The 27590-nt window shown below is 61.5% G+C and overlaps 1 protein-coding gene across 38 annotated transcripts, besides 16 other annotated features; it reads left to right on the forward strand.

Moving 5' to 3' along the window:
• Positions 1-510: an enhancer, noted in NCBI's record as "active region_14710". NCBI's record gives its function as "activates an Ori minimal core promoter by ATAC-STARR-seq in GM12878 lymphoblastoid cells {active_cell/tissue: GM12878}" and the evidence as "EXISTENCE:reporter gene assay evidence [ECO:0000049][PMID:35858748]".
• Positions 289-27555, forward strand: CIC (capicua transcriptional repressor). 38 transcript variants are annotated; one of them, NM_001304815.2, is made up of 21 exons: positions 289-353; positions 3533-6336; positions 18530-18679; positions 18765-18999; positions 19079-19208; positions 19304-19486; positions 19569-19734; positions 20647-20849; positions 20940-21165; positions 21607-21710; positions 21992-23225; positions 23317-23504; positions 23845-23966; positions 24059-24225; positions 24325-24618; positions 24715-25040; positions 25351-25595; positions 25694-25848; positions 25932-26063; positions 26363-26494; positions 26583-27555. In NM_001304815.2, exons 2-21 carry the CDS (start codon positions 3543-3545, stop codon positions 26948-26950), a joined length of 7554 nt encoding a protein of 2517 aa, NP_001291744.1. In that variant the 5' UTR covers positions 289-353; positions 3533-3542; the 3' UTR covers positions 26951-27555. The 38 variants fall into 38 exon arrangements, with proteins under 38 accessions (NP_001291744.1, NP_001426115.1, NP_001426112.1 ...); NM_001439186.1 differs by having other exon boundaries at positions 25932-26057; NM_001439183.1 differs by having other exon boundaries at positions 25697-25848.
• Positions 2670-2719: an enhancer, noted in NCBI's record as "active region_14711". NCBI's record gives its function as "activates an Ori minimal core promoter by ATAC-STARR-seq in GM12878 lymphoblastoid cells {active_cell/tissue: GM12878}" and the evidence as "EXISTENCE:reporter gene assay evidence [ECO:0000049][PMID:35858748]".
• Positions 11481-11820: a silencer, noted in NCBI's record as "silent region_10700". NCBI's record gives its function as "represses an Ori minimal core promoter by ATAC-STARR-seq in GM12878 lymphoblastoid cells {active_cell/tissue: GM12878}" and the evidence as "EXISTENCE:reporter gene assay evidence [ECO:0000049][PMID:35858748]".
• Positions 11662-11806: an enhancer, noted in NCBI's record as "145 bp enhancer 284/285 fragment used in the MPRA reporter construct; PK_construct_4801". NCBI's record gives its function as "activates an SV40 promoter by MPRA in K562 cells {active_cell/tissue: K562}" and the evidence as "EXISTENCE:reporter gene assay evidence [ECO:0000049][PMID:23512712]".
• Positions 11727-11742: a transcriptional cis regulatory region, noted in NCBI's record as "ZFP161 motif; enhancer activity is reduced when this motif is scrambled". NCBI's record gives its function as "necessary for full MPRA enhancer 284/285 activity {active_cell/tissue: K562}" and the evidence as "EXISTENCE:site-directed mutagenesis evidence [ECO:0005528][PMID:23512712]".
• Positions 11901-12020: a silencer, noted in NCBI's record as "silent region_10701". NCBI's record gives its function as "represses an Ori minimal core promoter by ATAC-STARR-seq in GM12878 lymphoblastoid cells {active_cell/tissue: GM12878}" and the evidence as "EXISTENCE:reporter gene assay evidence [ECO:0000049][PMID:35858748]".
• Positions 11901-12620: a biological region, named in NCBI's record as "H3K27ac hESC enhancer GRCh37_chr19:42784339-42784844".
• Positions 11946-12451: an enhancer, noted in NCBI's record as "H3K27ac hESC enhancer chr19:42784339-42784844 (GRCh37/hg19 assembly coordinates)". NCBI's record gives its function as "activates a minimal SCP1, AML or CMV promoter by ChIP-STARR-seq in primed H9 embryonic stem cells {active_cell/tissue: H9 hESC(primed)}" and the evidence as "EXISTENCE:reporter gene assay evidence [ECO:0000049][PMID:30033119]".
• Positions 12301-12620: a silencer, noted in NCBI's record as "silent region_10702". NCBI's record gives its function as "represses an Ori minimal core promoter by ATAC-STARR-seq in GM12878 lymphoblastoid cells {active_cell/tissue: GM12878}" and the evidence as "EXISTENCE:reporter gene assay evidence [ECO:0000049][PMID:35858748]".
• Positions 12881-13080: a silencer, noted in NCBI's record as "silent region_10703". NCBI's record gives its function as "represses an Ori minimal core promoter by ATAC-STARR-seq in GM12878 lymphoblastoid cells {active_cell/tissue: GM12878}" and the evidence as "EXISTENCE:reporter gene assay evidence [ECO:0000049][PMID:35858748]".
• Positions 13464-13968: an enhancer, noted in NCBI's record as "H3K4me1 hESC enhancer chr19:42785857-42786361 (GRCh37/hg19 assembly coordinates)". NCBI's record gives its function as "activates a minimal SCP1, AML or CMV promoter by ChIP-STARR-seq in naive H9 embryonic stem cells {active_cell/tissue: H9 hESC(naive)}" and the evidence as "EXISTENCE:reporter gene assay evidence [ECO:0000049][PMID:30033119]".
• Positions 15341-16250: a silencer, noted in NCBI's record as "silent region_10704". NCBI's record gives its function as "represses an Ori minimal core promoter by ATAC-STARR-seq in GM12878 lymphoblastoid cells {active_cell/tissue: GM12878}" and the evidence as "EXISTENCE:reporter gene assay evidence [ECO:0000049][PMID:35858748]".
• Positions 15549-15723: a silencer, noted in NCBI's record as "fragment chr19:42787942-42788116 (GRCh37/hg19 assembly coordinates)". NCBI's record gives its function as "represses an EF-1alpha promoter that drives an FKBP-Casp9 reporter gene in an ReSE screen in K562 erythroleukemia cells {active_cell/tissue: K562}" and the evidence as "EXISTENCE:reporter gene assay evidence [ECO:0000049][PMID:32094911]".
• Positions 21773-22673: an enhancer, noted in NCBI's record as "H3K27ac-H3K4me1 hESC enhancer chr19:42794166-42795066 (GRCh37/hg19 assembly coordinates)". NCBI's record gives its function as "activates a minimal SCP1, AML or CMV promoter by ChIP-STARR-seq in primed H9 embryonic stem cells {active_cell/tissue: H9 hESC(primed)}" and the evidence as "EXISTENCE:reporter gene assay evidence [ECO:0000049][PMID:30033119]".
• Positions 22687-22736: a silencer, noted in NCBI's record as "silent region_10705". NCBI's record gives its function as "represses an Ori minimal core promoter by ATAC-STARR-seq in GM12878 lymphoblastoid cells {active_cell/tissue: GM12878}" and the evidence as "EXISTENCE:reporter gene assay evidence [ECO:0000049][PMID:35858748]".
• Positions 27508-27577: an enhancer, noted in NCBI's record as "active region_14712". NCBI's record gives its function as "activates an Ori minimal core promoter by ATAC-STARR-seq in GM12878 lymphoblastoid cells {active_cell/tissue: GM12878}" and the evidence as "EXISTENCE:reporter gene assay evidence [ECO:0000049][PMID:35858748]".

The raw sequence follows: 27590 nt of genomic DNA on the forward strand, positions 1-27590 counted from the left end.
CTCTCCCCTCCCGGTGGCAACAGGGCTTTCCGCGGGGCCGCGCCAGACTTTTCGAGACCGTCAATTGGTCGTAGTCCCGGCCACCCGGCAGCCAATCAACAAGGGGAAAGGTGACATCACTGGTTCTCCTCCCCTCCCCCAATCCAAACTTCCCTACTCCGTCTACCGGCAGCAACAACCACGTGGGGGAGGGGTAAGAGAGTAGAACCGGTGAGGTCATTGCACCGCCCCGGCCGCTGCTGATTGGCTGCGGGGCTCGCGGGTGGCGGTTGGCTGCTCCTTGCACCTCCCCCTCGTGCCGCTACCGCTGCCACTGAGAGGAGCCACCGGCGACGCCAGAGCCAGGAATACGGGTGAGTCGGGGCCCTGGGTCTAAGATACTCCTGGCGTCCAGTGAGACTCACGACGAACTGCCCTTTTCGACTTTTTCTCCTCGCCGGGTTTCTTTGGTGCTCCAAGCACTCTGTCACATGGGAGTTGTAGTCTGCCTTGTACTGTCGGCTATGGGCCGAAGACGTGAGAAGACTACGGTTCCCAGCAGGAACTGCGACTAGCCGGTCAACAAACGTTCGGGCCACGCCTTCTACCTCCGTTCATTGGACAACCCGTCCCTTAGCCCCTCCTCCTTTCATTTCATTGGCTACTGTCCCTCACAGAGGCTGGGTTCCGGCCTAGGCTGCATGGCGACTGGGTACTGTATTTGTCATTTGGAACTAAGACGGCCTGCAATTGGACACGACTGGTGTCCTTCACTTGTTGTAGGGTAGGGCCCTAGGCAGATCAGGCAGTCGTAGGCTCAGGTTGGTGTCGGTCCCGGAGGGAGGCCGGTCTTGGACTTTGGCCCCGCCCCCTAGCGCTGCCCGATGGGCCCAATTGGTCGCCGCGAGCGTCGCTCGTCGTCGAGAGGCGGAGCCGACCAGTCTGCGGATATCTATTGGTCTAGGCTGGCGCCGGTCAGTGGGGTTGTGATCGCTGATTGGCTGGCTGCTCCAGCTGTTGCAGGTCCATTCACCATTTTGTGTGTTGGAGTAAAAAAAAAAGGGAGAATCGAGAGGGAGAGCCGGAGGGGGGGCGGGGAGGGACCGGACCGGACCGAGCCGGGGCCACGGCCCCCCGCCCCGAAACCCCGCCGAGCCCAAGGTGAGGGGCGGGGCCAGGGCTGACACAGGAAAGGGGGGTCCGGGGGGCTGGGGGCCGAGAGGGGACAGGTGGCAGGGACGGGGAGGGGGTACAGGGGGAAAGGGGTGGGCGGAATGGTGGGAAGGGAGGAGGGAGTGGAGGAAGTGGTGGGGGTTTGACAGAAAAAGGGTAACTGGGGGAGGGGGTGGTGGGCAAAGAAGGGTAACAGGAATGGAGGGGTGACAGGACTAGATCAGGGTGACAGGGAGAGGGAGGGGACAGAGTTGGAGAGTGTGACAAGGAGAGGTGATGGGGAGAGAAGGTGACAGGTCCGGAGATGGCTGACAGGACAGTGACTGGGAGGAATAGGTGACAGAGATAAATGGGGGTGACAAGGAGGGGGTGACAGGAGGGGGCCTAGGGCATTTTAACCGAGAGGTAGAGATAGAGGTAGTGACAGGATGAGAGAGAGAGTGTCAGAGAAGCTGGTGCCAGGAGGGCTAATGGGAACAGAGGGTATGAGACCCCAAAGAGCCAGGGCCTGGGCTGGCCTGGGCTCCGGGAGTTACTACTCAGATCTGAGGAAGGTGAGGGCCCCCGGGGCTTGGGTGGGAGTTATTCAGACAGGGTGGACAGGAAGAGAGTAGGCCCTAGGGGAAAGAAAGCAGCTCTGGGGCGAAGAGAGGCTGGGCCAGGCAGCAAGGTCTAGGGGTCCAGGCGGCATAGTTGTAGGCCCTGGGTGGGGTATGCAAAGGTTTGTGCTTGGAAAAAACTGGAGCCAGATCTCAGTCCCCAACATGGTAGTCTAGTGGGTCAGCGGGTATTAGGTGGTGATGGCTGCCCAACTTCTGGGCATTTGGGTGCCAGCCCCGGGACGCCCTCCAGGCTCTGCCTGTGAGGACCCCAGGATTGGCCCAAGAAAGGGCAGGCCTGGGACTCCAGGGTCCACAGGAGGAGCAGGCCCCTAGTGAGAGAGCATGAGGTCAAGGGTCCCCCAGTAGCTGGAAGACTGAGTCGGGGTTGCCTCTCATTGTGTTTGGCTTATGGTTCTGGGTCCCCCAACCCTCCTAGAGGCCTCTGTTTTGGCCTCTCAGGTTCTCTTAGTCACTTCAGAGTAAAGTTTTTTCCCCTTTTCTTTTCTCAGGGCAGCTCGAAAGGGGGCGGGCAGTAATGACTGTTCAGGAAGTGGGTGAGGTTGGCCTGTTGGGCTTGTCCTGCTTTCTTTGACCTTATCCCACCTATCCCCACTTGGAGTTGGAGGGCATATTTGGGGGCCTGCGGGGGGCTAGCCGACTCAGCCACCCTGCCAGAGCCAGCCCAGCCAGGGCGGGGATGCATGCAGGCAAGAAGAGGGGGGCTGGGCTTGCGGGTATCACGCTGGGTGCTGTGGGGGGAGGAGCAGGCTCCCATCCAGTGGGACAGAGAAACCCTGGGGTGTAGCTCTGTGTCCCACTGTGTGATGACGTGTGCGTGCTTCTGTGCGTGTGTGTGTGTTTGTGCGCGTGCGTGTGCTCATGCACGGCCCCGTGGCAGTGCTGGGTATGAGCTCTTGCCCCAGACATGCCCCTGCCTGCTCCCTGCCAGGATCTGGGGAGATGGCTGTACCTGGCAGCCCTAGGGTGCAGAGCAGAGTGGGCAGCCGTCCCTCGGGACTCTCAGCTGCCCACTTCTTCCCACAGTGCCTGGCCATGCCAGGCTGCCCAGAGGGGCAGAGGGAGGGTGGGGGGGTGGAGAAAGGCTCATATCACAGCCCAGTCACCACCCTTTTTGTGACTTGGTACTTGTGCATGTGTGTGTGTGTCTGAGTGCATGTACTCTCTGCATGGTGACAGTGCGAGTAAATGTGCCCTCTGGATCATGTGACAGGCAGCACACTGAAATGGTCAGGAGCACGGACTCTGGAGCCAGAGAGCCTGGGTTCAGACCCTAGCACTGCTGTTTCCCACCTGGATGATCTTGGACAAGTTGTCTCATCTTTTTGTGGCTCAGTTTCCTCAGGTGTGAAATGAGGCCGATAGTAGCACCTGCTTTTAGGGCTGTTGTGAGGATGAAACAGGTTAATAAAGGCAAGCTTAGCATGGAGTTCAGGACACAGGGAGTGCTCCATAGGTGTGAACTGTTAGTGCTTTTGATGTCCCCTTGGGGCATTCAGAGCATGTGCTCTGTGTCCTTTGCAGAGCCAGCAGGTGTCTGTTCCCCAAGGAGCCAGAGTGTGTATACTCAGGGGACTCAGGTGCTCACCTGTGCCTGGTGCTGACTGAGGTATCACATGAGTTGACAGCAGCCAGAGAGGAGGCCTTGGGGATGGTGGGATGGAGACAGTAGACTCAGCAAGTGGGAAATCTTAGGGTACACTGGCTCTGGAGAGGTTCCTGAGTTGCTCCGCGTAATCCTCCGCTCTCCCACCCTGCAGGTGGACAAAAATGAAGCCAATGAAGAAGGCATGCACTGGCCTTTCAGGTCCTGGCAGTGGCAGCAAGTCCCCCCCAGCCACCAGGGCCAAGGCTCTGAGGCGGCGAGGGGCTGGGGAGGGTGACAAGCCAGAGGAGGAGGATGACGAGGCACAGCAGCCGCAACCACAGTCCGGGCCCGAAGAGGCTGAGGAAGGGGAGGAGGAGGAGGCTGAGCGGGGCCCTGGGGCTGAAGGTCCTCCACTGGAGCTGCACCCTGGCGACCCGGCTCCAGGCCCAGCAGAGGACCCCAAAGGGGATGGGGAGGCAGGCCGCTGGGAGCCCTCACTCAGCCGCAAGACAGCCACGTTCAAGTCTCGAGCGCCCAAGAAGAAGTATGTGGAGGAGCACGGAGCTGGCAGCAGTGGGGTGGCTGGGGCCCCTGAAGAGCGGGTGCGGACCCCTGAGGAGGCCAGTGGCCTGGGGGTGCCTCCACGGCCACCCACCTCCACTCGTTCCTCCTCCACTGACACAGCCAGCGAGCACTCGGCGGACCTGGAGGATGAGCCGGCTGAGGCTTGTGGTCCAGGCCCTTGGCCCCCTGGCAGCACCAGTGGCAGCTATGACCTGCGGCAGCTGCGGTCCCAGCGGGTGCTGGCTCGGCGTGGTGATGGCCTTTTCCTGCCGGCTGTGGTGCGCCAGGTGCGCCGAAGCCAGGACCTGGGCGTGCAGTTCCCTGGTGACCGAGCCCTGACTTTCTATGAGGGGGTGCCAGGCGCTGGTGTGGATGTAGTTTTGGATGCCACACCCCCACCAGGTGCCCTGGTGGTGGGCACAGCTGTCTGTACCTGTGTGGAGCCCGGCGTGGCTGCCTACCGGGAAGGTGTGGTGGTGGAGGTGGCCACCAAGCCAGCTGCCTACAAGGTCCGTCTCAGCCCTGGCCCCAGCTCCCAGCCAGGCCTACCAGGCAGCCTCCCGCAGCCCCCACAGCCACTGCACCGTGAGCCAGAGGAGGCTGTGTGGGTGGCCCGCTCCAGCCTACGCCTGCTGCGCCCCCCCTGGGAACCTGAGACCATGCTGAGGAAGCCCCCTACAGGCCCTGAGGAAGAGCAGGCAGAGCCTGGGGCCACCCTGCCACCCTGCCCTGCTGCCCTGGACCCCAAACAGCCCGAGGATGCTGAGGTCTCTAAGATCAGCTTTGGTGGCAACCTGGGTACTCACTGTGAGGAGGGCGAGGAGAAGCACCCTCCAGCCCTGGGTACCCCAGCCCTGCTCCCACTGCCCCCACCCCAGCTCCTGTCACCACCACCCAAGTCTCCAGCCTTTGTGGGCCCCGGCCGCCCTGGCGAGCAGCCCTCGCCCTGCCAGGAGGGGAGCCAGGGCGGCAGCCGCAGCAGCAGCGTGGCCTCCCTGGAAAAGGGGACAGCACCGGCAGCCCGGGCCCGCACGCCACTGACAGCCGCCCAGCAGAAGTACAAGAAGGGCGATGTGGTCTGCACACCCAGCGGAATACGAAAGAAGTTCAACGGCAAGCAGTGGCGCCGGCTGTGCTCACGAGATGGCTGCATGAAGGAGTCACAGCGGCGAGGCTACTGCTCACGCCACCTGTCCATGCGAACCAAAGAGATGGAAGGCCTGGCAGACAGTGGGCCTGGCGGGGCGGGCCGGCCCGCGGCCGTGGCAGCCCGTGAGGGCAGCACGGAGTTTGACTGGGGTGATGAGACGTCGAGGGACAGTGAGGCCAGCAGTGTGGCGGCTCGTGGAGACTCACGGCCACGCCTGGTGGCCCCTGCTGACTTGTCACGCTTTGAGTTCGACGAGTGTGAGGCGGCCGTGATGCTGGTGTCGCTGGGCAGCTCGCGCTCAGGCACGCCCTCCTTCTCACCCGTCTCCACTCAATCGCCCTTCTCGCCAGCCCCATCACCCTCACCCTCACCACTCTTCGGCTTCCGCCCTGCCAACTTTAGCCCCATCAATGCCTCACCAGTCATCCAGCGCACTGCAGTCCGCAGTCGCCACCTGAGCGCCAGCACCCCTAAGGCAGGCGTGCTGACGCCACCAGACCTGGGCCCCCACCCACCGCCACCTGCCCCCCGAGAGCGCCACTCCTCTGGAATCCTACCCACCTTCCAGACCAACCTGACCTTCACCGTGCCCATCAGCCCTGGGCGACGGAAGACAGAGCTGTTGCCGCATCCAGGGGCCTTGGGGGCCCCTGGCGCAGGGGGTGGAGGAGCCGCCCCAGACTTTCCCAAGAGTGACAGCTTAGACTCTGGTGTGGACTCAGTGTCCCACACACCTACACCCTCCACGCCGGCTGGCTTCCGGGCCGTGTCCCCTGCTGTGCCCTTCTCTCGCTCCCGCCAGCCCTCACCATTGCTGCTGTTGCCACCCCCTGCCGGCCTGACCTCGGATCCAGGGCCCTCTGTGCGCAGGGTGCCTGCTGTGCAGCGGGACTCACCTGTTATTGTCCGCAACCCTGATGTGCCACTGCCCTCCAAATTCCCTGGGGAGGTGGGCACTGCTGGTGAGGTGCGGGCTGGGGGACCTGGGCGGGGCTGCCGTGAAACCCCAGTGCCCCCTGGGGTGGCCAGTGGGAAGCCTGGCCTGCCCCCACCTCTGCCAGCCCCCGTGCCCATCACCGTGCCTCCAGCTGCACCAACTGCCGTGGCCCAGCCGATGCCCGCCTTTGGCCTGGCTTCTTCACCCTTTCAGCCTGTGGCCTTCCACCCCTCACCTGCTGCCCTGTTGCCCGTTTTGGTGCCCAGCAGCTATACCAGCCACCCTGCCCCCAAGAAGGAAGTCATCATGGGCCGGCCTGGAACAGGTAAGAGGTGGAAGTGGATGGGCTGCGCCAGGCTCACCTCGTAGAGGGCCTCTTGCAAGCTGAACTCTTGAGAGGTGAGCTCCTCACCTTGGGAGGGCTTCAAGGGGAGGCCGGCCTCCTCTCTGCACAGATGTTGCTGTTGGAATTCACATGTCAGGAAAGGGATTGGACTTTTAAGGCTCAAGGCACCGTTTCCAGAGGCCTCCTGTCAGAGAACGTGGTCTCAAGAGGTCTATCAGTCAGCAAACCTTTCTTGAGTGCAGACTGAGTCAGGTCTCCATGGAGCTGATGGGATAAGAGAATGATAATTGTGGCAACAGCTTCCACATCTTGGGGGACTGGGCGAGGGCATTGCCATGGTAAGCACTGCGTGTAGGTGAGCTTGCCAAATTTTCACATCCACCTCATAGAGCACTTACCACCTGTTCTAAAGACCCTTTTCAAATATTAGCTCATTTTATCTTCACAACCACCCTAACAGGAAAGTGCTATGATTATGCTTCTTTAGAGGAAACTAAGGCCAGGGTCATAATTTGTCCAGGGTTACATGGCTAGTCAATCCTGGAGCAGCCCTCAAACCCAGGCAGGCTGGCCCGTGACCACGTGGTCATAGTGCTGGATTACAGATGGGCAGATGGAGGCTCTAACAGGTCCTTCCCAGGAGGTGGCAGGACCAGGACTGGAGCCCTCATCTTTACCACTGTGTCCAGTAAACATCACAGGCACGGCCATGGAAGGCAGCGGGGGTGTGCTGGGCACTTCTCCAGGTGTGAATCTAGCCTGGCTACACTGAGGACAGGGCGTGTAAGCCAGGAGTTGAAGGATGAGTGGGAACCTGCAACCGTGGGGTGGAAGAGCCTCCTGGGAGGAGGGCGATGGGACAGCCCCAAGGCCAGAAGGAGCACAGCCTAGGAGGGGAAGAGGGAAGGCCAGGGTGGCTGGAGAGCTGAGGCTGGGGGTGGAAGAGTGGCATTTCTGAGATGGTGCTGAACAGCCACGGACCCAGGCTAGGCTGGGCCTTGTAGGAGCAACACAGAGAGGGTGACAGACCTGTCGGAAGCTCCTTCCTAGCATTTCTTTCTTATTTGTTTATTTATGTATATATTTTTTTATTTTTATAGAGATGGGGTCTTGCTGTATTGCCCAGGCTGGTCTCGAATTCCTGGGCTCAAGCAGTCTTCCTGTCTTGGCCTCCCAAAATGCTGGGATTACAGGTGTGAGCCACTGCACCTGGCCTTATTTATTTTTATTTATTTATTAATCTACTGTTGATTCAGGGCCTGGCCCTGTGCTGTGCCTGGCCCTGTGCTGGATGGTGCTGAGGACACAGCCCTACTTACACAGGGCTCACAGCCTCTGGAAAAGACAGACCCCTCCCTAGACAGTAACAGTCTGGGGTGGTCAGGGATGGGGTGGAGGAAGCCAGGAGGCCGTGGGAGCCCAGAGAAGATGCCTGTCCAGCCTGAGAAGTCAGAGAAGGCTTCTTGGAAGAAGGGCCAGATGCCTATGAACTGAAACCTGAAGGGTGTGCAGATGTGAGCCCGGCAGGGTAGGCAGGAAGGATCTTCAGGCAGAGGAAAGAGTTTGTGCAAAGGCCTTAAGGCAAAAGCAGATATTTGTAAGATGTTGAATCTGGAAAGTCAAAGACTCTAAATGGCAGGTGAGTGTTGGGGATGTGTGGCTGGATTGGTGAGCAAGGGTCAGATCAGAGAGGACCCTTAAGTAAGATCATTATGAACTGTATCCTGAGGGTACTAGGGAGTCATGGAAGGTTTTGAGCAGATTCAACCACTGCTGCACCATAGAGGGTGTGTTTGAGTCTCTGAGGCCAGAAGCAGGGAGACCAGGGAGGAAGGAGGCTGGGTGTGGATGTGGGTAGGAGCCGCTGTGGCTTGGGCTTGGGGCAAGAGCCCTTTCAGGAAGGAGCACTGGCCTGGCCCTTCCCTTTTGGGGCTCCAGCCCAGGCCAGTCCCGAGGGACAGGGCACAGGGACACGGGTTATGCCTGCCCCTGATGTTCATATACAGAACTGAGGCTGTGAGCTGTGTGTTTCACCCTGACACCAACATTTTTTACATTTGTTGTTATAGGTGGTACAAGCAAAATTTCACAGCAGGGATTTCTGTCCTTAGGTAATGAAGAAACTAAATCAGAGGGTCTCTAACCACTCCCCTACCCTTCACCCCCCCATATGCCCACAACCCCCAACATGGCCCCTACAGCATTGTCTCATGTGGCCACTCCTGCTGTGTGGGGAGGAATGGCTCTGGTGCAGGGGATGCTGAGGCTTACCAGAGTAGGCCCAGCAGGGCTCTTGTTACCATTTTCCAGATGAGGAAAAGTGAGGCCCTGACAAATGGAGAGTCTTGATTGAGGCCAGCCAGCCAGTGAGGGGCAGGATGAGAGCTTTGAGTCATCTCCCAACCTCTAGACTGTGGGACTCTCACTACCAAAAGTGGCAGTAATAATAACTCACCGAGCAGCACTGGTGATGCACGTGCCTGGCACACTTCAATGAGTCCTGCTGAGCCTTTACTCCCTGAATCCTCACAATGCCCCAGGCTAGTACCATGATTATTAGTTCCATTGGACAGAGGAGGAAACCGTAGCCTGAAAGGCTAAGTGACTTGCCCGGGTCCTCCAGCTAGGAAGAGAGAGAGCCAGGATTTTGAGACAGAGTCTGGCTCTGTCACCCAGGCTGCAGTGCAGTAGCGCAATCTTGGTTCATTGCAACCTCTGCCTCCTGGGTTCAAGCGATTCTCCCGCCTCAGCCTCCCGAATAGCTGGGATTACAGGAGTGTGCCACCACGCCCGGCTAATTTTTGTATTTTTAGTAGAGCCGAGGTTTCACCATGTTGGCCAGGCTGGTCTTCAACTCCTGACCTCAGGTGGTCCTCCTACCTTGGCCTCCCAAAGTGCTGGGATTACAGGCTTGGGTCACCACACCGAGCTGTCAAGAGCCAGGATTTGAACTCAGACTGTGCGGCTCCAGATCCCAGGCCCTTAAGCACTTTCAATAATAACAATGATAACAATAATACCTACTCTACTGAGCGAAGACTGTGTGCCTAACCCCGGGCTTGGGGCCGTTTCATCAGCTCCGCCTGATGCTGTGAAGTAGATTGCCAGGCCTGTTGTCCAGGGGTAGACTGAGGATCAGAGAAGGGAGGCCCCTTGCTGGGGGCCACCTGGTTGTCATAACTTGTCCAGTGCCTATCCTGGCAGTTCTGAGGAGCGCCTCCCTAACAACACCCATGCTGAGGTATCCAGGCTGCCTTCAGGTTCCTGAACAGCCTGCCCTTTCATTCTTCTCCCAGAGGCCTCCCTAAGCCCTTGGGAGGTAGGCAGCTTGGAGCCTTCTCCCCATGGGGCCCAGATAGGGCAGACCGTGTTCAGTGGTATAGTGAGGTTGCAGGCCTGGTCCCTTCTGCTGGCCCATGCCAGGGCCTGACCCTCCATCAGAGGGCAGCAGGTGTGAGGGGGCGGCCCAGGGCAGCCTGCCTGCTCCTGCCCCCAGCCAGGCATTTGCTTCCGCTGGGGGACTTGCTGGGGCAGGCGGCTGGCATTCTCCACATTCTGTGCATGGCATGGCCAGCCAGCTGCCGTTGCCACCTCCCTCTGAATCTTCCCGCCTGCTCCCCAGGAGAGGATCCCGCCCCAGGGCCTGCAGCCCCAGTCCAGGAGGCCAGATGTCTCAGCCCCATTCCTGGTATGGCCTCCCTCCCAGCTCCCAGCTTCCTGCCTGGCTTCCCCTTGTTGACAGGCGTTGCTCCTTCTCCTGGGCCTCTGTCTGGCGGTCTGGCTCTGTCTGTCTTATCCTTGGCTTCCTATATCTCTCTGGTCTCCTATTTCTAGGTCTATACGTGTGTCTCTCTTTGGACCTCTGTCTGTCTGACTCTTCTTTGAGTCTGGGGGCTCCCTGTGCCTTCCTGGGTTTGTCCCTCTCTGGACTTCAGTCCTCGTCTGAGCTTTCAGCCCACCCTCTTTCTGTTTTGGCTGCCAGCTGGCATCCTGTGTCTCTGAGCCAGCCTTGGCCTCTCTTTGGCCCTCCTACTCCCACTCTTTAGATGGACTTGCTGCCCCCATGCCAGCCTCCCAGCCCCACCCTGTGCATATCAGGTGTTCTGTTCTTTTAAGACAGTGGGCAGTTGCCAAGCACCAGGTCTCCTACTTCCTTCTTGGGGAGTGTTGGGAGGTTGTCCAGGCCAGGGAGCCCCCTCATGCTCTTTGACAAATTAACTGCCTACTACTGTCCCTGAAATCTGCTGAGAAGTGCTGAGATCCATCCTGCAGACCCATCCACCATCCAAGCACCTGTTCCCAAGACAGGCAGGAAAGCGGGGGCTGTATGGACCAAGCTAGGAGATCCGGCTGTAGGGGGCGGCAGGAAAGAAGCTTCAGTGCCCACCCACCTGCCAGAGGGCATGACCCAGGTCATCCTACCTCCCCCTTTACCCCTTGCCTTTCATTTGATGCCAGCTTCATTGAAAGGAGTCCCAGATATAGTGCACCCCAATGGGTAGGGCCTCAGAGACGAGGCAGTACCCACCAACTATGCTTGGGCAGGTGGGGAAAAAGAGGGGCCAAAGGGGTTAAGCCTGGGTCTCCTGACTCCCCAGATCCAGATACTGCCCACCATAATTTCCATTTTGTTTCAAACAGTGAACCCTATCTCCACCAGCAGAAGCCAGCTCCCTCCTCATCCCTCTGCCAGGCCCAGGGCTGAGCAGTCCTGGGGCAGGTGGGTGAGGAAGGCAGATGTGGATGCAGGCACAGGCAAGGATGAGCCCAGGGAGGTACTGAGTCTGGGGAAGCCAAGGGGCAGGGACAACTCAGTGGTTCATGGGGGCTGATAAGGGAGGATCAGGTAGGTTTCTCACTGGAGGTGACATTTGAGCTGAAGTATGAGGAATGAGTAGATTTCAGAATAGTCAAAGAAAGGAAAAGGCAATTCCACCTGAAACAGCTGCATGAGCAAAGACCAGGAAGAGTGAAAGTGCATGAACTCCGAGTGGCTAGTTGAGGCTGGAGCTGACACCAGAGTCCAGGCTTAGCAGAAGGGTGCCGTGGACGACAGGCCCAGCTTGAATGCCAGGCTGAGAAGCTGGGGCTCTACGCGGGCCAGTAAAGAGTCAAGAAGGCATTTAGAGCAGGGGAGGGAAAATGTTGGATCTAGGTGTCAGAGACCCCTGGAGACCGCCCTGGAAAGGCAGGAGTTGGGAAGAAGATGGCTTGGGGAAGAGGAGGAGAGGAGGAAGAGCTTGTGAAGGTGCAGGAGTGAGTCTTGGTAACTGTAGAAGAGACCCCAGCTCCCCCAGCTTAGCAGCCCCCAGCACCAGGAGCTGCGAGGCGTCAGGCTGCCTCCTGGCGGCAGGCGGCGGCGGGACAGCAGGCGCGCGCATGCGCGGCAGAGGGGGTTGGGGGGTACGTCCCGGAGCCCCCGGTGCCCGGGTATTAATGGCTCCATTAGTGGCCGGGAGGGAGGCGCATTAGCGGCGGCGACGGCGTCTGGCTCCCATTACCACCGGCGGCAGCGGCTGCACCGCAGGCGGCTGGACCCTAGCCCGCCGCGCCGCCTCCTCCACCCCCACCCTATCCCCTGTTCCCGCTCCCCACGAGGGCCCGGGCAGGGAACTCCCGTCCCCCTATTTCAGCGGAAAAGCTGATTGTGAAGCCAGATAGATTTGGGTTCAAATCCCGGCCGTGCCACCTCGCGGCTGCAAGATGCTATCCCCCCTCTGAGCCTGTTTCTTGCGAAGTAGTCGGGGAAACCGGGTGCTCCGGGGGCTGTGTAGAAGCGGACTGGCACCCAGCGAGGGCCGCGCCCAGCCCCCGCTGGCACCTAGGGGTGTGGGTTCCCGCGCGCCCCTGGGTGCAGACCTCCTGTGTCGGGCCTCCGTCCTTCTCATTGGCTGCCGTCTCGCCCGCTGACCGCTGATTGGCCGAGACCTGCTTCTCCGCCCCTGAGCGATTAACCCCTGCGCTGCCGCGTCCTCGGGCTGGGTGGGGTACCCTCCCTCCCACCGCAGACAGCTCGGGTGCCAGCTGGCCGGCGCCCCGCCGCGGCCCGCGTGGGTGTCAGGCCGGCCGGGCACCCGTCCGCCCTCCCTGCACAAAGCGGCTTTGTGGAGCCTGCCGGGGGTTGGCTGGGGGCCAGGCGGCGAGTGGAAAATCTCGTGAGCGCGGGGAGGGGAGGGGAACGCAGGGCGGCGCCCCCTCCTCTGCTCGGGCCTTGGCGCCTCCCTCAGCCCGCGCCGACCAACCCTCCCAGCCCAAGCGCCTGTACACCCCTTTCCCGCCCCCGCACCTTCCCTTCCCCAAACCCACGTCTCTCAACCCCCCCACCCCCGCATCCCACCCATCTCCCAATCCCTGGGGACCATCCCCCACACACTCTCCCCAGTCTCTCTTTTCCTCCTGGTCCCCCTGCCTACCCCAGCCCCACTCACACTGACTCACCCCGGCGCTATTTTTAGCCCCCCATCCTTGCCGAGCCGCGCCAGCCCAATCCTGGGCTCGTTCCCCAGGCAACCCTGGCCGTCGCCGACGCCGCCCGGGGTGGGTGGGTGGGTGTGTATGTGGAAAGCGGGTGAGGGGAGCTGGGGACACCGGGGTGGTGAGCTGAGGCGGGGACCCGGGCCTGGAGAGCAGGGTGGGGAGCCGCAGGCGGCCGGCAGGGGTGCGGTGCCTCGCGGGCTCAATAAATGGGCCCCATGAGTTTAGAGTGCGCGTCTGCCTGTCCCTCGGTCTGTCAGCATCCCTGGCTGCTCGCCCCAGGCCTCTGGGCAGGCCTCAGCCTGTACCGCCCGCCCGGGTGGCTGTTGATGTCTTCGTCTGGGTTCCCTGTCCCCAGGCCTGGGTGTGGTGGCACAGTGGGGGCTGTTTAGGGGCAGTCCTTCTGTGGAGTTGGTTAGGGGTTGGTGCAGGGGGTGGCTGCCATCACAGTCCTGCTCAGTACCTTTTTCCAACTAGGGAGGCCCCAATTAGGGTTGGGGATGGCAAGAGAGTGGGAGCTGTCTAGGGATAGGACCTGCTCCCTCCCCTCTGCTCCTAATCCACCCCCACCCAGGGTTCCTCCACCCTGAACAATAGAAGCTAAGTATAGGGCTGGCCCAGCGCCCAGGGCAGGGGGGCCCTTCCCGCCCGGATTCCCGCCCCTCCCTGCCAGGCTAGGCCCCCACTTGGTTGTACCCTGCCCCGGACGGGGCCTCTTCCCATCTCTCCTCCGTGGGCACTGTGTATTCTACCAGATGTGCACCCCTCCCAGATGTGTGGGGCCCTCTTTCCCTCCTGTGCCATGCCTGGCTCTTTTTCTCAACCAACAGAAGTCGGGGATCTGGGGGGCAGAGCTCCTCTGAGCTCTGTCCTTGGACTGCATTGCAGTAGAGAAGGGGTTAACTTGCCAGTAGGTGACTCACTCACCGGTGGGGAGAGGAGGGGGCAGTGGTAGGGGCAGTGGTGGGGAGATAGCAGGCCACATTGATTTCAGCCTCAATTCGTGCCTCACATTGCAGTCCCTGGGGCAGTGAAGTAATGGAGGGTCTGAGTCTGGGGCTGCATAGGAAGGAGGGGGCAGTCACCTAATAGTCCCTCTGGTTGCCCCTCCAGGCTCACAGCCAAGTGTCTGGCCCTGCAGTCTCTGGAGGTCAGAGGGCTACAGACCTTCCCTTCCCTTTTGGGCTCAGGTTACCCAGTTTTTGCCCCCTCTCCATTCCTTCAGCTCTGTCAGTGGATGAGGCAGGTTGGGGAAAGGGCTCGTCTGCTCCTGTTGACCATCCAACCTGTGTAAGAGCCCAGTCTTGGTCCATCTGAGCCTGTGCAACCTTTACGTGCCCAAGTGTGTGACCCCAGTCCTGTGCCTTTACTGGGTATGGCTCCAGGGCCCCTCTTGGGTGATCCAGGGCCTCTGGGTCTCTGCCAGATGGGCTCCACATCCTTGCCTGTGTCTTTGTGTGAGCCCCCCTCGCCTTTCTGTGGTCCACGTGGCTCTGTATCATTGTCTAACTATATTCCCCAGCCTCTGTTTGGAGTTCCCTCCCTGGGTCCACCCTGAGGTTAAGCCTTGAGTAATGGAAACAGCACTTGAGTTAGAGCTCTGGGCTGGTACATCTTGACTGCATGATCTTGCCACAGTTTATTCAATCTCTGAGGCTCATTTTTTCACCTGAACAATGGGTGTAATAAAGCATACCTCCCTAGGTGGCTGTGAGGATTCAATGAACCAGATAATACATACAAGCTCCCAGCACACAGCAGCCCCAGTAAGTGTTAGTTTCCTTTCTTCCTGGCCCTTTTTTTCTGGGAGGGGGGGCGGGGTTAGTGGGTGGCTGGCAGAGCAGTGTGGTGGGGCCAGCCATGGTGTGCTCTGTGGTTCCCTGCCTTATACTGCTAGACAGAGGGTCCAGAGTGGCCAATGAGTGTCAGGGTGGGTGGCTGAATGATGGCGGTGGCCACTGAGCTCTGTATACCTGATGGGCCTGGGTACTGAAGCAGGTAGCACCCATTAGGGTAGGATTATATAGAGGGTGGGGTCGGTATGATGGTGTCTGTGAGAGCTGAGTGTGCACTGGGGATAGGAGGCGCTTTGTGAGTGCTAGGAAGGCTGTGTGTGTGACGGAGGAGTGTGTGGTTGTGTGGGAGGGGTGTGGAGTGTGTGTAGTGGACAAGCAGGGCTATGCTGAGTTCCTCCTGTTTGACATGTTGTCTGTTTGCATGATTCATGTGGGCTGGTGGGGGTGTGATGAGGATGCGGGTTGGCGAAGCATGTGTGACAGGGCATGGATGAGATGGGTGATGTGAACAGGATGGGTGAATGCACGATGGTGGGTGGGGAGCGATGGACCGTGAGCGTGTGAGGTTGTACATCTGTGTGAGCAGGTATGTGAGGTGTGACAGCGTGGGTGTAAGACAGAGGGCATATGTGCCCGTGGGGTGTGTAGGAGATAATGGGTGTGGCACGAAAGTGTGTCTGTATGTCTGTGAGGAGTGTGAGTGTGAGTAGGTGAGGGCTCAGGATGCCTCGCCCAGCCCTACGCGCAGTTTGTCTGCCCAGCGGGGCCAGGCGCGCCCAGGCGGGTGTGCGGGAGGCGGGCCGAGCCGCGCGTGAGCGTGTTCCTCGCGCGGACTGGACACACAACAGCACCACGCACAACCCAGAGACCTCCGCAGCGCGGCGCCCCGAACCGCCCCCCTGGCTCGGTGCCTTTACTGCAGTGCGCCCTCCCTGCCACCCTCCTACCGCGGCCCCGCCCCCGGCCGGCTCGGGGCCAACCGGAGCCCGCCCCGCCCTGCCCTTATTTGCATATGACTGACGTTCCCCCGGGGCGGCCAATGGGGGCGGGCGCGGCGGGGCCTGACCCGCGCGCGGCGGCGGCAGCCAATGGGCTCACGCGCGGGGGGCCGGGCTTGCGCGGAAGGCCGCGGGGGAAGCGGGGAAGGGGCGGGGGGAGGCGCGGCGGGGGGAGGGGAGCGCGTAGTAGTGGCGGGGCGGGGAGGCGGTGGTGGTTCGGCGCGGGGCTCGCTCGGAGCGCACGGACGCACGCACGCTGGTCCGTCTGCCCGCCCGGGGCCGGAGGTCGACCCGGCGCTGAGCCTCGGGCCCGGGGCCCGGAAAGGCGGGGCGGCGGCGCCGGCAGCCGGGACGCGCGGGGCCAGAGCCGTTACCCGCCGGAGCTGCGAGGGAGGGAGGGAACGAGCGAGCCAGCGAGCGGGGAAGGGAGGGGGCCGCCCCCGCGCACGCGCGTCGCGCCCCGCCCCGCCTGCCCCGCCTGCCCCGCCCGCCGGACTCCGCGAGGGAGGAGGGAGAGGGAGGGGGCGGTGCCGATGGCCCCCGTGCCGCGCGCCCCGTGACGGCCCCCGCGCGCGCCGGGGGGCGGGGCGGGGCCGGTGCGCGCTGACCTCCCCCGCCCCCCGGGCGGCGGGAGGCAGGCGGCGCTGTGCGCAGGCGCGCCCGGCAGAGACCCCCGCGTGGGGCGGCCGGAGGGGGGCGGCGGGGGGGGGGGCATGCGGCGACGGCCTCCCGCTCCCCCCGGGCCCAAGCGGCGACGGCCGAGGAGCGGGCTGCGGGCGGAGCGGCGTCGGCCGCTGAGGAGGTGCGAGCCCCTGCCGGGTCCCCCCTGCGCCGGACCATGTATTCGGCCCACAGGCCCCTGATGCCCGCGTCCAGCGCGGCCTCCCGTGGCCTCGGCATGTTCGGTCAGTAGCGCCTGGGCCCTGGGACTGCAGGGGTCAAGGTGTCGGGGTGCTAAGTGCGGAGTAACGGTGGTGGGGGTATAGTAGGGGAGAGAACAGTAGAGGCAGAGTAAAGGGATGACGGGGAAAGTTACGGAGCTCGGCCGGGCCGAGTGGTTAGTGATGGCAGGTGGGAGTGTAGCGGAGTGGGGCGTATCTGGGGACAGCTGTGATGTTAAAGTGATGGGATGGCACAGGTCCGCTGTAATAGAAAGGTGAGGGGTGCAGAGTAACTGGCTCTGGAGCATGGGGTAGAATAGGAACAGCACGAGACCTGCTGGTCCTAGGGGAGGAGGCTTGGATTGGGTAGTGGGGCTAAGGACAGGGCTCAGGAAGCGAGTGAGGCACTGTTAGCTGAGATCAGAGTGACAGGCTGCAGTGTGTGGTGTAGTTTGCAGAGAGCGCGACACCTAAGAACCTGGAGGGTTGTGCACTGGGGAGGGGTTCAGGAGGGAGCAGGACCAAAGGACTGCCCTCCATTGTCTGCTGGGTCCCTTTTCCCCACCCCCCAGAAAAGAGGAGGCCTTGATGGGAAAGATCTTTGCAAAGAGAGGCACAGGTCTAAGTCCCTGGAGGCTTTTATATGGGGTTGGAGGGCCCAGCGGGTTTTCAGGGGTAAGGGACAGGGTCATCGTAGTCTTGAGTGCTCTTCAGTGCTGTCTTCGTGATCCCAGTCCCTTGTTTCCTGAGGTCTACTTTTTCCTTTGTCAGCCCCTCTCAGAATCAGGTCTCGAGGCCAGTGCCTCGCACAGAGCTCCCCCCTGTCCAGGCTTCTGAAGGCATGGGGAGGTCACCTCAGGTCAGGTTGATCCGGATCAAGGGAAGGCCTGGAATGATGGAGAGCAGGGCTAGGGCGGTTCCCTCCTCCCTTCTTCATCTTCCCCGAGCAGGGGCCTCTCTCCTCTGCTGGTTCCACTTCCCCCAGGGAGCCAGGCAGTGTGAGGGGAAGCCCACTGGTATCCTAGGCCCGCCCCAAAAGTCCAGCCAGGGGTAGGTCCCAGCCTAGGGCTTGCTCTTCCACCACCCACCTCTTGGGGCTGAAGGTTGGACCCCTGGGACCAGCCTCTTGGTGAGGAAGCATCTTCCTGTGCATATCCTCAAGGAAACACCTGGCACTTGTGCCCTCTCTGGGTAGAGACTTGTTACAATTCTCTCTTCTGGCCCATTGTCCGTGGTTTTTCTTCCAAGGAGTTTACCACACCCTCCCCTGTTTTGGGCAAGGGGGCTGGACCCTGGACTACAGATAAGCCGAGGGGCTGATGGGGAAGGGAGGCTGGGAGGCCGATTTCTGGATGGTGCATTGTCTTTGTGGGGGCAAAGGAGAGAGCTGCTGGAGCCACCTGTGCCCAGCCAGGAAGGGCAGGTCTGGCACTCTGTGTTTGTGGTGGGGGAGGAAGGCAAGGAGCAGGACCTCTCCCACACCACAGTTGTAAGAGACCCCACAGCCTGTGCATAGTGAACGGAGAGTTGGAGGGGAGGGGACGTGGGGCCGTATGCCTCAGGAAAGGGAAAGAGAGCATGAGGCCAAGGTGAGACGCTGTGTTGGGCGGCGACTGGGCTGCTGGGAATGTGGCATGACGGGGGTGGGGGTCCCAGCCCGTAGAGGTCTGGGGCCTTGGGAGTGTGGGATGGCAGCCAAGCATGACCTGGTTTGTGGCAGGAGCAAATCGTTCCTCTGGCCTGGTCCCTGGTGGCAGGGCTGGTGGAGATTGGTGGGGGGAGGAGTGGGGCGTGAGTACTATTTCCCTTCCCTGCTTCTGTTTTCTTTTTTATAAATCTAGAAACCTTTCAGGGAGGAGTTTTTCCTGAGTGACGTTGCATGGACGAGTCCAAGAGGCTCTGGTGTTGGGGGTGGGGGGTAGACAAAAGGGGTGGGGCTACCTCATCTAGGGTGGGGAAGAGCTTGAGTTGGGGTTGGGGCCAGGCTCTCCTGCTGCACAGCTCACCTGGCTCCTTTCCACAGTGTGGACGAATGTGGAACCTCGCTCTGTGGCTGTGTTCCCTTGGCACTCCTTAGTCCCCTTCCTGGCACCCAGCCAGCCTGACCCCTCCGTGCAGCCGAGCGAGGCCCAGCAACCTGCCAGCCACCCAGTGGCCTCCAACCAGAGCAAAGGTGAGGGCTGGTGGGGACTGGGGGGAGGCAAGGGTGTGGGGTCCAGGTGGCCTAGGAGCCCTCTGATCTACCTCTGTGTCCCCAGAACCTGCTGAGTCGGCAGCTGTTGCTCATGAACGGCCACCAGGTGGGACAGGGAGTGCTGACCCTGAGCGGCCCCCTGGAGCCACATGCCCTGAGAGCCCAGGACCCGGACCCCCACACCCTTTGGGGGTGGTGGAATCTGGTAAGGGTCCGCCTCCCACCACGGAGGAGGAGGCCTCCGGCCCCCCAGGAGAGCCCCGGCTGGACAGTGAGACAGAGAGTGACCATGATGATGCGTGAGTTCCCTGAGGCCTGGGACTTGGGGGTGGGATGGCCAGAGACATGGCCCTCACTGTCCCTGCTGCCCCGCCGCAGCTTCCTCTCCATCATGTCTCCTGAGATCCAGTTGCCTCTACCGCCCGGAAAACGTCGGACCCAGTCCCTCAGTGCCCTACCCAAGGAACGGGACTCATCTTCTGAGAAGGATGGACGCAGCCCCAACAAGGTACTTTATCCCTGCCTGTCCTGTGCTCACCCCGTGGCCACCCACACCTGTCTGCCAGGTCCTAACTGTCCCGCTCTGGGCTGTGTTTAATGCAGCGGGAGAAGGACCACATCCGGCGGCCCATGAATGCCTTCATGATCTTCAGCAAGCGGCACCGGGCCCTGGTCCACCAGCGTCATCCCAACCAGGACAACCGGACCGTCAGCAAGATCCTGGGCGAGTGGTGGTATGCCCTGGGGCCCAAGGAGAAGCAGAAGTACCACGACCTGGCCTTCCAGGTAACGCTGTTGCCTCTTGGCTCCTCCCAGCTTCTTCTGGTGGGGTGGGTGAGTGAAGGGTTGCCCTGCCCTCTCCTGCCAGGTGAAGGAGGCCCACTTCAAGGCCCACCCAGATTGGAAGTGGTGCAACAAGGACCGAAAGAAGTCCAGCTCAGAGGCCAAGCCCACGAGCCTGGGGCTGGCAGGAGGGCACAAGGAGACGCGGGAGCGGAGCATGTCGGAGACGGGCACTGCTGCTGCCCCTGGGGGTTAGTCAGCCCCTTGGCTCTCCCACCCTGCCACCTCCCTCCCCGAGAGCCACCAGCTACCCCCTTGCTTGCTCCTCCCCTGCCCCAGCAGCTCCTCTCTGCTCTATCGCTTTAATTTGGCGACCCTTATCCGTAAAGGAACCGGCAGTTGATTCATGTGACGGAGCCAGGGAGATCCACACAGATACTAAGATTCCCAAACAGCAATCTCGTTATCAACTGTTGTTTAACGAGTGTTTACTATGTGCCTGGCACTACAGGGAATATAAGCTGTAGTCTGCAAAACCCCATTCTATTTCTAGAAGAAGAAACTGAGGTTCAGAGAGGCAAAATCACTTGCTTAAAGTCATAAACAAGCAAATGACAGAGCCAGAATGTAAACCCCAGTTCGGCGGGCCCCCAGCACCATAGTTGGGGCCACTGCAGCTCGCAAACACCCCTGATGGGCTGCTTCCACTTATTGAGGTTGTCTGGTGTGCCTGGCGGTGTTCTGGGGCACATTTTTGGAGTGAGCCTATGGGTATGGCAGTTCTGTGAGGTTAGATGGATAGTTGCTATGGATATGCACTTCTATGAGAGTGGGGACACTAGTTACTTCCTCTTTGAGATGAGGGAACCGAGGCTCAGGCCAGCGGTTGGCTAGCCAGCACCACATGAACCTCTCTCCAGGCCTCCTTACTTTCAGGAGGGCTGCCCCCCAGGGAATGGGCCTGCTGCAACCCCAGAGGGCAGGAATCAGCAGGAATGAGATGCTGGACTGGTGGTGGGTGGTGGTTTTTTTTTTTCACCAAGTGGCCCAGAAATTCCAGCCTGCTTCTGCCTAGTACCTAGAAATATCTATGGGTTGTTGGGCCAGTCTAGGTGCTGGTGACAGGCTTACTGACTGTCATAGCGCCACTCTCTACTTTACAGTGTCCTCTGAGCTCCTGTCCGTTGCAGCCCAGACACTCCTGAGCTCAGACACCAAGGCTCCGGGGAGCAGCTCCTGTGGGGCAGAACGGCTACACACAGTTGGGGGACCTGGCTCAGCCCGGCCCCGAGCTTTCTCCCACAGCGGGGTACACAGCCTGGACGGCGGAGAAGTAGACAGTCAGGCGCTACAGGAACTGACGCAGGTCTAGGGTGCAGGCCCCCTAGTGGGGGTGGGCAGGGAACCTGTCCAGGGCAGCAGCCCCGCTGAACCCTCTCTGCCACCTATCCTGCAGATGGTGTCTGGCCCTGCATCGTACTCTGGCCCAAAGCCTTCTACCCAGTATGGAGCTCCAGGACCCTTTGCAGCCCCTGGTGAGGGAGGTGCCTTGGCGGCCACTGGGCGGCCCCCGCTGCTGCCCACCCGAGCTTCTCGTTCTCAGCGTGCGGCCAGTGAGGACATGACGAGTGATGAGGAGCGCATGGTCATCTGTGAGGAGGAAGGGGATGATGATGTCATTGGTGAGCATTGCAGGGCCCAGAATCTTGCCCAGGACCCAGCAGGCCAAGGCTCAGAGGGTGGGCAGAACTTGGATCCAGGCCCCTAGGCCCCTTTGTTTTCTTTTCCACTTGGTTTATGGTTGCATGTGGCCAGTTCAGGCCCTGCCGAGTAAATCCAGCCCTGCCCTCAGGAAGCCCCCAGCCCTGCAGGAAATCTGGAGGACAGGGGGCATGACCAGATCTTCAGGTGCAGTGTTAGGGGCTCTGTCCTGCAGGCTCATAGGCTCCTGCACTGGGCAGTGGGCACTGGGCATGTGGGCACAGCCCTGGGCTGAGGAGTAGCCTTCCTGGACAGCACTCCCTGCCGGTTTGGAGCAGAGCTGAGATCCAGGCTCCAGACTGTTTCTCCTGGGTCCCCCTGCATCTAGCCCCCTCCCCATACTGTTCCCTCCACTCCCTCAGCTGACGATGGCTTCGGCACCACTGACATTGATCTCAAGTGCAAGGAGCGGGTGACCGACAGCGAGAGTGGGGACAGCTCTGGGGAGGACCCAGAGGGCAACAAGGTGAGGGCTTGGGTCACGGTGCTGTCCCATCACACTCCCTCCTAAGCCATGGGAATGTCTGTTTCTCCCGGGCTTGAGAGAGGGGGAGATTAAGGTCCAGAGAGGGCAAGCTGCTTGCCCCGTGGGGAGTTGGGTCATAGTCAGGATGAATTGAGGCCTTCAGCTGGCAGGGGTGCAGCCCTAGGCTGGCCTGGCTGACAGGCTGGATGGGCATGGCTAGGGGGCTGCTATCGAGGTGTCGGAGTGTCCTGACCTGGGGTGTCTCCCTTCCTTTCATGCAGGGCTTTGGTCGGAAGGTGTTTTCACCTGTGATCCGTTCCTCCTTTACCCACTGCCGCCCCCCACTGGACCCTGAGCCCCCAGGGCCCCCGGATCCTCCTGTAGCCTTTGGCAAAGGCTATGGTTCCGCCCCATCCTCCTCTGCGTCCTCGCCTGCTTCCTCCTCAGCCTCGGCAGCCACCTCCTTCTCACTGGGCTCAGGAACCTTCAAGGCCCAGGAGTCTGGTCAGGGCAGCACAGCGGGCCCCCTACGGCCCCCACCCCCTGGGGCTGGGGGTCCAGCGACACCTTCCAAGGCAACCCGGTTCCTCCCAATGGATCCTGCCACCTTCCGGCGCAAGAGACCCGAAAGTGTGGGTGGCCTGGAGCCACCAGGCCCCTCAGTCATCGCGGCCCCTCCCAGCGGAGGAGGAAACATCCTGCAGACACTGGTGCTGCCCCCAAACAAGGAGGAGCAAGAGGGCGGCGGAGCCAGAGTGCCCTCCGCCCCCGCCCCATCACTGGCCTATGGGGCCCCAGCAGCTCCCCTGTCCCGTCCTGCCGCCACCATGGTCACCAATGTGGTGCGGCCTGTCAGCAGCACTCCTGTGCCCATCGCCTCTAAGCCCTTCCCCACCTCTGGCCGGGCTGAGGCGTCTCCAAATGACACAGCAGGTGCCAGGACTGAAATGGGCACTGGGTCTCGGGTGCCTGGGGGCTCCCCGCTGGGTGTCAGCTTAGTGTATTCGGACAAGAAGTCGGCAGCAGCCACCTCACCAGCCCCACACTTGGTGGCTGGACCCCTGCTGGGCACTGTGGGGAAGGCGCCTGCCACTGTCACTAACCTACTGGTGGGCACCCCGGGGTATGGGGCCCCTGCGCCCCCTGCTGTCCAGTTCATTGCCCAGGGGGCCCCTGGTGGTGGGACCACTGCGGGCTCAGGAGCAGGTGCTGGGAGTGGCCCCAATGGGCCAGTACCCCTGGGCATCCTGCAACCAGGTGCCCTGGGCAAGGCTGGGGGAATCACCCAGGTACAGTACATCCTGCCCACGCTGCCCCAGCAGCTTCAGGTGGCACCTGCCCCAGCACCAGCCCCTGGGACCAAGGCAGCGGCTCCCAGCGGCCCTGCACCCACCACCAGCATCCGTTTCACCCTCCCACCGGGCACTTCCACCAACGGCAAAGTCCTGGCTGCCACTGCACCCACTCCTGGCATCCCCATCCTGCAGTCTGTACCCTCCGCCCCACCCCCCAAAGGTGAGACCTGGGCCGGGCAGCACTAGGGGAGGGGCCATAGTCCTGTTTGGCTCCCTTGTAACCTTTTCCTTTCTTGCCTCTTAACTTCCAGCCCAGTCAGTTTCTCCCGTGCAGGCCCCGCCCCCGGGTGGCTCAGCCCAGCTGCTGCCTGGGAAGGTCCTAGTGCCTCTGGCCGCCCCTAGCATGTCAGTGCGGGGTGGAGGGGCCGGCCAGCCACTGCCACTGGTGAGCCCGCCCTTCTCAGTACCTGTGCAGAATGGTGCCCAGCCCCCCAGCAAGGTGAGGGCCTGCCTTTCTCTCTACCTGCTGGATGTTGGCCCCTGTACCCCATCATTTCTTTGTCTTTTTTTTCAGTCTTTTCTCCTTCTCCATGTATCTGGTTCTCTGTCTTGCCATCTTCCGTGATGTCTCTGTGCATCCTGACTCTCTCAAGTCCTCAGTGTCTGTACCCTCCTCCTTCTCTGTGTCCCCACCTCTCACTGTCATCTTGCCCATCCTGTTCTCACCCCAAGTTCTGTGTTCCTTGCTTTTGCTTAGAGTCCCACTTGAGGTCTTGGTCTTCCCCTGCCCCAGTCTGGGGCCACAGCTCACCCTGGCCTATGGGTGCCCTTCTCCACAGATCATCCAGCTGACCCCGGTGCCTGTGAGCACACCCAGCGGCCTGGTGCCGCCCCTGAGCCCAGCCACACTCCCTGGACCCACCTCTCAGCCTCAGAAGGTCCTGTTGCCCTCCTCCACCAGGTAATTGCAGCTGAGCCCATACTCAGAGGCCAGGGAAGGGGTGGGGCGGGGCCGGCTTACCTCACTCCTCCCCATTTCCTCTCCTGCGGCAGAATCACCTATGTGCAGTCAGCGGGCGGGCACGCGCTGCCCCTGGGTACCAGCCCTGCGTCCAGCCAGGCTGGAACAGTCACCTCGTACGGGCCCACGAGCTCTGTAGCTCTAGGCTTCACCTCGCTGGGGCCCAGCGGCCCCGCCTTCGTGCAGCCCCTGCTCTCAGGTGAGGGGCGGCCTGGCAGGCAGTGCTGGGGACCCAGGGTGGGGCTGAGGCAGTCCGGGCCCTAACTTGGTCTCCTGCTTCTTCTTCTCTGTCTTTCAGCAGGCCAAGCCCCACTGCTGGCTCCCGGTCAGGTGGGCGTGTCACCTGTGCCCAGTCCCCAGCTGCCGCCTGCCTGTGCAGCCCCCGGAGGTCCTGTCATAACAGCATTTTACTCTGGCAGCCCTGCACCCACCTCCTCAGCACCCCTGGCCCAGCCATCCCAGGCCCCCCCAAGCCTGGTCTACACTGTGGCCACCAGCACAACCCCACCTGCAGCCACCATTCTGCCCAAGGGCCCGCCAGCCCCTGCCACTGCCACCCCAGCCCCGACTAGCCCTTTCCCCAGCGCCACAGGTAGGTGTCAGATCAACCCAGAGCAGAGTGAGTTGGGGGACCCAGGGGATGGGCTCCAGTCAGGCCTGGCTCAGCAAACAATTTTCTCCCCACTAGCAGGTTCCATGACCTACAGCTTAGTGGCCCCCAAGGCCCAGCGGCCCAGCCCGAAGGCCCCCCAGAAAGTGAAGGCAGCCATCGCCAGCATTCCCGTGGGGTCCTTTGAGGCAGGTGCCTCTGGGCGGCCTGGCCCTGCACCCCGGCAGCCTCTGGAGCCTGGCCCAGTCCGAGAGCCAACTGCCCCAGAGTCTGAGCTTGAGGGGCAGCCCACACCACCAGCCCCTCCACCCCTGCCAGAGACCTGGACTCCCACGGCCCGGAGCAGCCCCCCACTGCCCCCACCTGCTGAGGAGCGGACCAGCGCCAAGGGCCCTGAGACCATGGTGAGCGCCTGCAGGCCGTGGGGCTCCCACTGCCACTTGGCTGTGCCTCTCCATTGACGTCTTTGCTTTTCTGTCCTACTCTTCTTTCCATGCCTGTGTGTCTCTCAGGTTAAAGGGTCCCCTCTGTCCCTTCTGCCTGCCTGTGTTGTCTCCTCTCCCATCTGAGGCCCCTGTCTTGGCCTTCCTGAGGCCGTGTGACAGCCTTCTCAAGGGGTCTGCTGGGCGGGCTCAGATCCAACTCTTTGTTTCTGGCCTTTGCCCCAGAGTCTGAGCTCAGTGTTCGCCATCTCCCTGCCCATCTCCACCCCAGGCCAGCAAATTCCCCAGCTCATCTTCAGACTGGCGCGTCCCTGGGCAGGGCCTGGAGAATCGTGGGGAGCCTCCCACTCCTCCCAGCCCGGCCCCAGCTCCAGCTGTAGCCCCTGGTGGCAGCAGCGAGAGCAGCAGTGGGCGGGCAGCCGGGGACACCCCGGAGCGCAAGGAGGCGGCTGGTACTGGCAAGAAGGTGAAGGTGCGGCCCCCGCCCCTGAAGAAGACCTTTGACTCTGTGGACAAGTGAGCATGGGCTGGGGCCTTGGTGGAGCGTGTTAGGGTGGCGGGAGTGGGAGCAGCTGCAGGCTGAGGCGGGGGAGGTGACCCTGCCGGCCCTCCAGCAGGGTCCTGTCAGAAGTGGACTTCGAAGAGCGCTTTGCTGAGTTGCCTGAGTTTCGGCCTGAGGAGGTGCTGCCCTCCCCCACCCTGCAGTCTCTGGCCACCTCACCCCGGGCCATCCTGGGCTCTTACCGCAAGAAGAGGAAGAACTCCACGGGTAGGCGAGCATTGGGCACCCAGGGTCCTTAGGTGGAGGGCAGACTGGGGCCACCTGCACTGAGTCTGCTTCTGTTTGGCCAGACCTGGATTCAGCACCCGAGGACCCCACCTCGCCCAAGCGCAAGATGAGAAGACGCTCCAGCTGCAGCTCGGAGCCCAACACCCCCAAGAGTGCCAAGTGCGAGGGGGACATCTTCACCTTTGACCGTACAGGTGCCGTGGTGGGCAGAACTTTGGGGGCCTGGGGACCTGCAAGAGGAGTGGGTCTCTGGAAGGCGGTTAGAGAGTGAGAGAGGTAGGGTGGGTCCATCCAGGCTGGGAGGAAGCACAGCCTGTCAGTGGTGGGTTCTGGAGTCTGGCAGGCCCCTAGGTTGCCCTGTGACTGTGGGCAGGACCCCTCTCTGACTCCCCTGTGAAATAGAATGCAGTGAGGGCTTGGGTGGGCACTCAGACGGTGGCAGGAAGGCCCTGCCGCTGCTGCAGCCTTGCCATGCTGCCTGTGCCCTGCACAGGTACAGAAGCCGAGGACGTGCTTGGGGAGCTAGAGTATGACAAGGTGCCATACTCCTCCCTGCGGCGCACCCTGGACCAGCGCCGGGCCCTGGTCATGCAGCTCTTTCAGGACCATGGCTTCTTCCCGTCAGGTGAGCCTGTCTCGGAGTCTTGGGGTCACTCGGGTGGGACTTATCTGTACATCTCATCCTGTGCTCCCCACCGTTTTTCTATCTCCAGCCCAGGCCACAGCCGCCTTCCAGGCCCGCTATGCAGACATCTTTCCCTCCAAGGTTTGTCTGCAGTTGAAGATCCGTGAGGTGCGCCAGAAGATCATGCAGGCTGCCACTCCCACGGAGCAGCCCCCTGGAGCTGAGGCTCCTCTCCCTGTACCGCCCCCCACTGGCACCGCTGCTGCCCCTGCCCCCACTCCCAGCCCCGCAGGGGGCCCTGACCCCACCTCACCCAGCTCGGACTCTGGCACGGCCCAGGCTGCCCCGCCACTGCCTCCACCCCCAGAGTCGGGGCCTGGACAGCCTGGCTGGGAGGGGGCTCCCCAGCCCTCCCCCCCACCCCCAGGTCCCTCCACAGCTGCCACAGGCAGGTGAGGGACCCCTGAGAAGATGCCAGGACTTATAGTACCCCCTCAGGACATGGACAGTATGTGGGGGCAGGAAGGTTATCTCCTCCCGGGTAAAGCCATTTCGTCCTCTCCAGTTTGGGGCGGAATGAGGCCTGCTCCTCTTGTAAATACCCCCTTCCCTCGAAGCTCCCTCCCGGTGCTGGGGGGCAGCTGAGGGGCTGCAGGGGCAGTCTCCCTCCTCCAAGCCCCTGTACATAACCTGGAGCGTGTGACCTTCAGAGCTTTTCACTTTATGCAAAATGGCTCCTGTGAGGGCTGCAAGCTGGAGGGTGGTGCAGGCCTTGGGCCACAGGGAGGCGCCTGTGGAATAGGGGGAGTTCATGCACCCCTTTTTTCCCCAGAGGGGCTGGACTCAGGTTAGTTTGGGGGTGGGGGCTCCTGCACTTTGCCACAGGCACGGGGAGGGTTTTCTCCTCACCCCCTCTGCCCTCCCAACTTGGGTTGTACTTTCTAAGAAGGTGATTCCCCCTGCCCTTGCCCCCTTCCCCAGAACAAAACATGTTGATCATGTGCAATATTTCTTACTGTGCCGAGAAGCCGCAATGAGCGAGATTAAAGCTGTTTAACACACCTGTGTGGCTGTAGGCTCTTAACAGGGAGGGCTG

Source organism: Homo sapiens, chromosome 19, assembly GCF_000001405.40.
Source record: "Homo sapiens chromosome 19, GRCh38.p14 Primary Assembly".
In the NCBI taxonomy this organism is placed as follows: domain Eukaryota; kingdom Metazoa; phylum Chordata; class Mammalia; order Primates; family Hominidae; genus Homo; species Homo sapiens.